Here is a 10,846-nt window from a genome sequence, read left to right on the forward strand (position 1 = left end):
CCAGTTATCGTTCCATGAAATTGTAATATGCACTTTGCCAATGACTGCATTTATTATTAAGTTGCATATTCTGCAGTGTTATCAGTAATTATGCCCGATTAAGAAGCATGTCATATTTTTTCTATATTTAAGTAAAGGCAAATGTCTTAATGAGCGGTGACAAATGGCAGAGGAAGCACAAGGAATGTCCCCCCATTCTAGATTATTCCCCAAGAAGTGGGCTGGAGAGAGATCTCCCCAGGTCTCAAGGTACACTAATTAGAAACATTAAAATTGACACAGTCAGATTCAGGATTAAATAGGTAAAGCAATACGCTAGTGTGAACTTCTCAGGCAGTGCACACTAATCTCTTGTGGTGACACTTATTTCCTTTCATTCTTGGCAGTCAAATGAATCCTGTATTTTGTTCCTTATCCCTGCCAGGTGGGCTTCACATGGAAGGTCATAGCAAAGCAGCCTGCTGATCTAAGCATCCAATTCACTGTCCTTGACTTTTCACTCTCCAGTGTTCATCTCTTGGCTTATGACATATATATGCCAACATGTGTTTGCTAAAGGTTCCAGGAAATTATGATGATAGTGACCACTTATTGAAACTTACTACAAGGTAACACTGTCATGACCTTTACAGGTATAACTTTGTTTGTTTAATCCTAGCAACCTGGCTAAGGTTACACATTCAGTGGCAAAACTTTGAGATTTGATCTGTCTGTAAATGATGGTTCTTTCCACTGCACTGCCCTAGAAGGGCCTGATTTTCATATTGTGTGATTTTACAAAGAGACCCTTCCTCTCTCTGGATCTCACTTTCCTGACCTGTGGAGTGAGGCAGTTGAGCTACATGCTTTGTAAGGGCCCTTTTCCTTGTAAGGTTTTGAAGATTCCAAAAGTTCCCGTATGATGCTATTTTTAACAGCACTGAAAGCTGAAGTGATGGGGTACAAAAAATAACTAGAAAGAATGAATAAAACCTATGATTTCATAGCATAACAGGGTGACTATAGTGAATAATAACTGTACATTTTTAAATAGCTTAAAGAGTGTAATTGGATTGTTTGCAACTCAATGGATAAATGCTTGAGGGGATGGATACCCCATTTTTCATGATATGCTTATTTCACATTGCATGCCTGCATCAAAACATATCATGTACCCCATAAATATATATACCTATTATGTACCCCCAAAATTAAAAATAAAAATAAACAAATAAAGCTGGAGTGGCCCTTGATTTTCTTCAGAAATGGCCATTCTCCTATTTGCACTGTTGAGAGCCATCAGTTCCAGCACTTCTGACAGAAAATTATTGTAGAAGCAGAACCAAGCTAAGAAAGCTAAATTCTAATTCTGTATCCACAGGAGAAGATGCCCTCGTCTGTGGTGGGATGGGGCAGGAAGAAAGCCTCTGGGATTGGAAGAGTAGAGGGATCAAAAAGTTACCTGGAACAGTCAACCATCTCTAGCCACCTGCTCTGCATCCTAGGTGAGCTTTGTGGGAATTTCAGGAGGGGGAGGAATTCAGGGGTGCTTTGGGTTTCAGAATGAGCAGAATAGTGGATAGTCATCTGCATTAGAGCTTCTTAAAACTTCTGCTGCCATCCTTGGTTTGTCCTTACATTTCCAGCCCTAACGATGTAGGGCTAGTCTTTGGAACTTTACAGGAGAGGCATTCATTGTGTGCTAATAAGGAAAGAGATACCACATTTGGAGATTAGATTTAGAGAGTGTTCCCACAGTAATACCCCAAATCTGAAGCATTTCTCTCCTGTGACTTCACATTAGCACTGAGAGTCAGTAGCAACCCCTGATAAAATTGGGTTCAAAGTTCCACTTACAGTATCACTTAAATTATATGACTCTCAGTTTCCATATCTGTAAAGTGCAGCTGTTGGGGGAGAGGATGTGCTGCCCTTACCTTGAATGTTTCAGCCTCCCACTGTAGAGGATCATGTTCATGTGACCTAGTTTCTATATATTTTGTTGAATAAATGCTTTTCAATTTGTTGTCTTTTGATCAATCTCCGGAGTCTTTGAATGATTTTCTTTACAAATTTTTACTGGCTTAATTGATGCATCTCCAGAAAAGAGGCTTCCTCAAGCCATTCCCAAAGTCACTGAATCTCTTTGAATGGTTTTTAGCAGGGGAGTGACATGGTCAGGTTTGTGGATTGGGATGCTCATTCTGGTTGTTAAGCATATCTCTCAGAGTGGTATGTGACTGTTAGATAAGATGGTGGATGTGAAAATGCCTGGTATATGGTTGATACTCAATAGATGCTCATTGTTTTGGATGTTAAATTGGTTGTTTCCTACCAGTCCAAGTGTGATCTTGGAGAAATTGCTTTCTGTCCCTGGATGTCAGTTTCTTCAACTGTAAAATACAGATGATCTCCCTGTTTTTTGTTTGTTTGTTTGTTTGTTTTTGTTTTTTGTTTTTTGTTTAGTTTATTCTTTTTTGTTTGTTTGTTTGTTTCTGAGACGGAGTCTCTCTCTGTCGCCAGGCTGGAGTGCAGTGGTGCGATCCCAGCTCACAGCAACCTCCAGCTCTCTGGTTCAAGCGATTCTCCTGCCTCAGCCTCCTGAGTAGCTGGGATTACAGGCATGCGCCACCACACCTAGCTTATTTTTATATTTTTAGTAGAGACGGAGTTTCACCATGTTGGCCAGAATGGTCTCGGTCTCCTCACCTTGTGATCTGCCTGCCACGGCCTCCCAAAGTGCTTTGATTGCAGGTGTGAGCCACCGTGCCCAGCCTAGTTTATTCTTTTATTCATTTATTATGATCTTTTGTTCTCCCCTTTGTCTCAGTGACCCTCAGTCCAGATAACCTGGGTTCTCCTCCAGTCTATTTCATTAGAGATTTAATATCTCTCATCTGACATAATTTTCATCTGATTTTTGCATTTCAGTTTCATTTTAAAAATATATGGTGGTATTCTCTGAAAAGAGGCAGCTGTTGTCGGTGGCCCCCAGGAATAACTCTGTAAATTACAAAGGAGACTCCATTTTAACAGGCCTATGTGGTCCCTTTTGTCCTCCTTTTGGTAAGTTATCCCTTACTTTTGAGGGCCACAAAGCATTTGCTAAAGGAGGGCATAACGAAGGTCCAGGTAGAGATTAGACATACTCTCTGACATGAAGAAACTTTCATTATGGTAGAAAGGGAATAATTGATTGCTCAGCCATTTACAGTTGTATTAAGTCAAGACGTTGGGCTGTTGTTAGTCTTGTTAAGTGCTTCTTGTTTATCAATTACTTTTTATCAGTTACTTCGACCTGGGCAGTGTGGGAGAGACAGATGCTGCTCTCCAGGAGCTCAGTCTATTAGAGGAGACATGTTGGTAACTGCAACAAAAGCCAGCCTCTCCTCAGGGTGTTTACAAAGGTGTCCTGTGCTGCAGGAGTAGAGGGGCAGGAGGGATTCATTTTGTCTGGGATGATTTAGAAAGGAGTTTTGGAGAAGCTGGGCTCTGAGTTGTAGGTTGTGCCTTGAAAAATCACAGATGGCAAGGATCCCAGATGAAGAAGCATCTAGCACAACAGCCCATGGCAAGGCACGTTTGGGAAATGGCAAGGCAATCAGTGTGGCTAAGAGGTAGAAGGTGCTGTAATGTAAGGTGGGCTTTGGGGCTAAATTGTGGAGAACATTGAAGGCCAAGCCGAGGACTTTGGCTTTGTCTGTGCAATGAGGTGCCAGCAAAGCCTCCTCCACCACCTGGTAGAATTTACATAGTGTGTCAACAGTTTTTGAACAGGATAATGATCATTATCATAGTGATGTTCGTAATCAGTTGTTCATTGTAATGAAGAAATTTGGCCATTTTTCAGTATTTCTGAGATGTCAGGCCAAAAAATAAAATGTGTTAGTAATTGTTACGCACGAGAGAGGCAACATGGGGAAGTTGTGGAGTACTGCACCAGAAAGCCAAAGCCTTGGGTTTGAGTACTGGTTCTGTGGTATGCCAGCTGTGTCCCCAGGGTTATTCACTTATTCTCTGTTGGCCTCCATGGGCTTATCTATTAAAGGGGCATGACCATTGCCTTCTCAGATAGTTATGTTATTGAAGTGATATAATAGATAAAAGCTTTTGTAAATTATAAAATACCGTCTGTAAGTGAAGAGCTGTTTTTTATGAAGAACAAAAAGTTTAAATGAAGCTGCATTCGAGAGGAGAGGTTCCTACAGGCATTTCAGTCCCTTTAACCTAAAGCCAGAAGGGGGAGGAGTTCCCTCCCACTTTCACTTCCTACCCGAGGCCTTATTTTAGTTTTTCATTTTGTATGTCTTACAATCAGTCCAGCTCTAACGTTTTTCTCCAAATCCAGCAACCTTTGAGTCTAACTTTATGCCCCGTCTAACCAATGGGCTGTGGAGCATTCATTCATTCATTCATTCATTCATTCATTCCACAAGTGTTTATTGAGTACCAACTCTTCTAGGCACTTGGAATACATCCGAGAATAAAATAAAGAGCCTTGCTCTTGTGGAGCTTACATTCCATTTGGCCTGGGGCAGGGGTGTGGGGGGCGGGGGGGCAAGCAATAAACAGCTAAACATAGTAAAGTTACAAGTATAGTATATGAGAAGATGACAAGTGCTGTGTAAGAAATAGGGCAGGGTAAGGGGAGTTGAGTGTGCTGGATGTTAGAGCAGTTTGCAATTTAAATGAAAGAAAAATCTTATGTGAAAGGACTTTGTAAATGGAAAAGTCCTAAACAAATATTCAAGATGAATACTTGTAGACTAGTTTGAAAACTGCCAAGGTTGTCTGCATCCTTTTAGAGCATCATCTGCTTCAAGGAACTTCATTCACTCATTCAATCAATCAATCAATATTTATTGAGTGCCCGCTTGGTTGAATGAATAAATGCTGATGATAATAATGATAGCTATTATTATGAAGTGCCTACTAAAGCATTATTTATGTATGTGATCTCATTTAATCCTTGTAACAACTCAGTAATGCAGACACATGTTCCCAAGTGAGCAGCACTCTGGAGTGTGGGCAATGATTCTGATTAAGGAAATCGTTCTTCATTCTGAAAAGCAAATGTGGGAACAAAATGGCTTTGATGAGGATTACTGATGTTTTTCAGGTTGTCAGGGTCAGCTGCTCAGCAAATTCTGGCAGTGACTTTCTTTCCATTCCCTTTAGTGCCATTGCTTTATCAGTAGTCACCAGTGGACTCAAGACATGGCTGTTTTAAAGAAGTTCTCTCAGCAGCTGCTGAAGTAGACAGGTTGGTGTGGTTGGTGGTCGCCTTAGCATACACAATGGAGGCCTCCTTGTGTTCAAATCCTCAATTTCATAAGGTGAAGTCATGTGTCCTTTCATTAGAGAGGAACCATATTAAGAATTATGTGAGTGAGTGGACCTTTTAGGTCTCTTCGATTCCAGCTACTAAGCGAATAACAAGTATGTTTCCAGGTTGGAAGCACTAAGAAAGGAGATGAGGAGGAAGGGACTTGGAAAAGGTAAAATTGGAAACGAGGAAGAAAAGCAGATGAAAGGCCCTGGTCACAGTTCCAGGCTAGGCTGAACTCTGCTCAGTTAGGAGAAGGACCTAGTTCACTCTCCTTCCCCCCACCCATCACTCCCCCTCTTTCCCTCCTCTCTTCCCCCTCCCATGCCCTACTTTCCTTCCCTCCCCCTCTCCTCCTTCTCTCCTAGAGCTGCAGCTCACTAAATATCTGGCTATTACTGAGCTGGAGATCCAGCTAGAGATGACACTGCTTTCTGCTGGAGAAACCAGCAGAGGATGGGCTATCAAACCCTGCCAGTTCTGCTCTTTTAATTTATAGCTTTTCATTCCATGGTTTCCTTTCTATACTCAAAGCCACTGCCTCACCATCTCTTTACTGGTTTATTAAAATAGCTTCTTAAATTCTAAGCTTTCTGCTATCCAGATGTAACCCTGCAACTTACCTGTGTGGGGTTATTCAGTGGTTCTCCACTTCCTTTAGAATAAAACTAGGCTCTTGAATGTGGCCTGCAAGGATCTTCCTGATCTGGCCTCTACCTGTCTCTTCATTCCTTCCCAGTTATGTGACTAGATCTTTATGTTTTAGCTCTAGTTTTACCTCCTCCAAGCAGAGTTCCCTGATCCCCAGGCATGGTTGTGTTCTTGCCTGTGTAGATTTTTGTATATAATGTTGCTTTAATTACAGAGTGTCTTCATTGGTTGCTTGCTTTGCTCTCTCTGCACCAGATTGCCAGTTACTTGAGATCAGCTTTACTCATTTTGTCCCCCACCTTTTGGTTTGTTCAGCCACCACATTTAACTGTGGAGTGACTTACCTTCTTGTCTGTCTGGCACACATCATTTAATTTCTCCTACCCGAGCCTTCCTTTTCAATTTAATTCATTTTAGTTCATGCCATTTACCAGATAGTGTGGCAGTTTCTGGGAACAGGAACGTAAGGAAGATATGGTTGCTGTTTGGGGGGTCTCACAGTTTCATGGGGAGACTGCTGGGGACAGAAATTCTTCATTACAGTCTGTAGAGCCTGCAGACCCTTGGGAGAATCCTCAGGCCTTTCCACCAAGTCTTCAACAGGAACAGCCCTGCTTGTCTCTTATTGTTGGGATTTTTGTAGAAGCTTTTGGAGGCAGAGGGCGGTGGGGCAGCAAAGGCAAAAAACCAAAAAGGTAGTTACTTAGATACCACTATTTTAAAGTAAAACCTACGGTGTTAAGTGCTGTAAAACAGTCTAAACAAAAGAGACACTCTGTCTTCTTGTTTGACAAAAGTCTTTTTTATTTTTTTATTTTTTTCTTGTTAAGGTCCAGCCATTCTGTTTATACTTCCAGGAAGTTTGGAGATAGATGGGTGCCCTTCCACCATTCCCACCATCTTACTGAGTGGATAAGATACTTTCCCTTTCTCCACTATTTAATTCAGAGGTCTTCAAACTTTTGGGGAGGCAACAGTTTAGCTATCTCAAAGCATAAAGCTACCCAAAGACAGGTTGTGCTAAATTCCCTGTTTGGGGCCAGAGCTAGTGGGTTCTCTCTTCTGTACAGGCAGAGCATTCTGTATTGACCTCTGCAACAGCCACTAACACAGTGTAATGCTATTGCCTATTTTGTATTCGTCAGCCCCCCACCCCTGAGATAATCCGATCCTCTTAATGGCATGGCCTTTCTGTGTGCCCTAGCAGTGGGCCCTGCAGAGAATGAGTGCTTCTTCAGGTTTGAGCAGAGAAGGGAAGAAATGGGAGAGGGGAGGGGAAGGGGAGGGGATGGTGTGGAGAAGTCTTGACCACAGAGGGCTGACTAATTGCCAGAACAAGGCCTAGGAAAGAATCTGGGCCTGAAGAGCTGAGTGGTAACGGGAGTAGTGGAGTATGTATGAGGACAGGGGAGGAGAGCAAGGGCCATGGTATTCAGGGATTCTACTCTCCAAGCGTTTCCTGATGACTTCTGTGGGAAAGCATTTCTCACTTCCTGGAATCCAGCCCTTCCCTATTTCTAGGCCTGAGCTGTGAAGGTTCAGCTGTCTTTGAAAGGGTTTCCTCTGTAACATGGGGACTCTAATCCAGAGGCTGAAGAGGAGTCACAGTCTTTCTGAGTCTAGTAAGTTGTCACTTGACCTGAAGGGTTTTAGGCAGATACTTTAGGAGAAGGTCAAATGTGGCCTTAGGGAAACTAGCATTTCCAGATCGCATGCTCAAAGCTCTGTCCAGGGTACATTCACTTGTGAGTTTATTTATCCATCCTCCATCCTATCCCCCCACCCCCGGGTCACCGCGTGTGATGTTCTTCAAGGCCTTCTCTTTACTAAATTGCTAAGAGTCAGGATTTGTATTTGAATCTGCAGCCTCATGCGGAGCAGGACAAATCTCTTCAACTTTGAACAGCCGTGATTTCATGCCACAGGAGAAGAGGATAGTTTGTTTTTTTTTTTTTTCTGATTTTGATTGATTGATATTGATATTTTAGTTACTAACGTGCTGCATTATTCTACTTTGGCCACCCTGATAATAACTTTTGATGCTTCACACAGGGAGATCACTGTTTTCCCCCACTGCTTAAGAAAGAAAAATTTTGTGAAAACTTTGGATGTGAGAGTCATGCAAAAACGCATAGCAATCATCAGGAAAATGTCTTCATTAACGCAGAAACAATGGTTCCTTACCCACCAGTATGTTAATGTATGTTAAACCAGTCTGTTGACATGTAAATTCTAATTTGCACACCTCAGGTTTTACCTGCCTCACTCACTGCTAGGACTTCTGAGGAAACCCTCTTTGAAAAAATGTTTCTAGCTTTTATGTCCTACAGTTTCCCCAACAGACAGAATTCCAACAAGCAATGACTCTGTAGGATGACTAAAGAACTGAGGCATCTGCCAAACTAAGACGTGCTTGCTTAATAAAGGAAAAAACATTCAGCCTAGTTTTCATAACATATTTTGCAATTGAGAGTTTTATTAACCATTTATCCTGTGAGCATTCAGAAAGGGTACAAGAAGAATCAAAGGATACAATTTTAGAAATCTCAATAACCATAAGTCTGCCTTAATAGTTCATGCACATCATGCATGTTGGGACCGAAAGATAGTAAGATATCTCCACTGTCTTTATTCAGTCTTATTTAATATATTATTAAAATTGGGCAAGGGACCAGCTCAGACCCGTGTATGAATGAGCATATGGCTGTTGGTCAAGTTGGCCACTGAATCCACTCACTACTGTAGCTATGGAGTAGGAGAAACTTTATTTCAGACACGCTGTCAACCAGGAATTGACTTGTCTGGACAAGACAGTTTGTTTGCTTTTATTGTCCTCAAATTAAACTACTCTCTGTCCGACTCTTCAACTTGTCTCAAATGTTTGATGAAACACTGGGAGAATTGTCAATATCGCTCAACTTCTAAGTCACTAAACATCCTAATTCTTTACATTCCTTGCAGCTGAGGCCATTTTCCTTCAGAATTCTTTCAAGCAGTTGGGAGGGTGGAGGGTTCTGTGAGACACCAGGGGGGGTTAGAGCCTTTACTTTGGCCTTGCAGACTGGTGATCGTTCTCAGCCAGAGAGAGGTGTGGAGCTTGTGTAGAGGCTTACAAAGTGCTAATGACTAAAAGAAAAATCAGCATAGGTTAATACATTCTAAAGTAGATGGAAATCCATGCATGTGGTTGCTTCAGAGCAACCCCAGTTTATTGCGCCACTGCACTCTCCAGCCTGGGCGACAGAGTGAGACTCTGTCTCAAAAAAAAAAAAAAAAAAAAAAAAAAAAACCCAGTTTATTCCATTGTTATCATACCTGCTTCCCCCAGATATACGAGCAATGCAAAAATTTTTATTGTCTTTAGTAGAGATCCCAGTTGTCGAAATTGGAGAAATTAATGTATTCTCTTGAGCCCAAACACCTGTTCATCCTGTATCCCCTACCACGAATAATCAGTTCTTGTCATGATTATGATAGGCCTGTTGAGAAAATTGCCCATCTCCTTATTATAATTTTTATGCATACTCAAAATGAATATTTAAACTGAGTTTTGTCAAGAGCTATGTCCAGTTATTAGGTATGCACAACGGTATGTGAGTAGGGTATATGCAAAATTGGGTTTTAATATAAAAATAAAATGCTGAGATTTTTGTCTCATCCTAATAAAATACCAAGAACTCCATCTACCCCTCCCTGCTTTTCTAACACTCCTAGTCACAAATATATGCTCAAAAAGAAGATAATTATCATAAGGCATCTTTATTATTACAGATTACTCGATTGTAAATCTTTCTTTGGCAAAATGACTTGATTGATTTTGGAATTTGAGCCTCTTTGTGATACACTGCTTAGAAGTGACCATTTCAGAGAAGGCAAAGGGGGACTTAGGCACACTCAGAAAAGCATGCTGAATAAATAGGGGGAATCACACTGAATTGCCAAAGATTATTTTAATGGCTCAAACCCCTTCCTGTTACGATAATTACAGGAACATCTTTAAGCTCTTCTCTGAAGAACTTGTGAATTGAAATAGAAAATGTTTTAATGAATTTAAATTATTTAAAAATTGGTATTAGAATTTTCAGGATGAATTATTTTTGTATTCCCCTCTTGTTTATTAAGCATGAGCAGTTATTAATGCATTTTTCCTCCTGTAATACACTTATTATTTGTACAATTGTGTATAGTGTTATGTCACATAGAAATATATCTCTTTAGGATGATTATTATTTTAGGAAAATATGCAGAAATCACATTGTAGCAGAAACAGCTACATTTCAAAATAACATTTATTCTTTTTCAAATTGTTTTTTATAAAAAGATCTGGTTGTAATTTCTGCCGGTAAGTTTAGTGTGGTGACAAATATTAGACTATTTTATACATCTGAGGATAGTGATACATCAGTTTCCTAATTCTAAAAGCCCTGTTATTCATCACAATGAAAACGAAGACTTCTCTCAAGCACCTGCCTGAAACAGAAGTCTTTCCGACAGACTGTGCATGACCTCTCATTAAATCAGCGTACGGAGGACTAACCAGCAGATGCTGCTGACATGAACCCAGATGTAATCTCTTTAACCTTGTCCTGTAAGGCACACACAAGTCGTGACCGGAGAATTCAAAGTAAATTAGGTTTTACATGAAAGTCTATAATCTAAATTATATTTGACTAAAATGATGCCTGATTTGTGTTTGTAATGAAATATTCCACTATGACTGTTAGCAATGATGTTTTTTTGAATGCATACACCTAAGTCTGTTTCTTCACATCCACATCTATCTTACTTTTATTTTTAAATTGCCAGCCAGTTTTTCATTGTTTCACATCCTTGAAATGAAAAGTCCTTTATAGGAGGAAGATGTATGCAAAGGAATTATTTATCAAGATA

At 40.6% G+C, this 10,846-nt stretch overlaps 1 long non-coding RNA gene across 1 annotated transcript, besides 1 other annotated feature; it reads left to right on the plus strand.

Moving 5' to 3' along the window:
- The first annotated feature begins 424 nt into the window (after positions 1-424).
- Positions 425-8,823, plus strand: LOC105373344 (uncharacterized). The gene is made up of 3 exons (XR_938604.3): positions 425-608; positions 1,361-1,484; positions 2,911-8,823. It is a non-coding gene; the product is annotated as an uncharacterized LOC105373344 (long non-coding RNA).
- Positions 8,627-9,128: an enhancer, noted in NCBI's record as "NANOG hESC enhancer chrX:139608152-139608653 (GRCh37/hg19 assembly coordinates)". NCBI's record gives its function as "activates a minimal SCP1, AML or CMV promoter by ChIP-STARR-seq in primed H9 embryonic stem cells {active_cell/tissue: H9 hESC(primed)}" and the evidence as "EXISTENCE:reporter gene assay evidence [ECO:0000049][PMID:30033119]".

This window comes from Homo sapiens, chromosome X, assembly GCF_000001405.40.
Source record: "Homo sapiens chromosome X, GRCh38.p14 Primary Assembly".
NCBI classification, from domain to species: domain Eukaryota; kingdom Metazoa; phylum Chordata; class Mammalia; order Primates; family Hominidae; genus Homo; species Homo sapiens.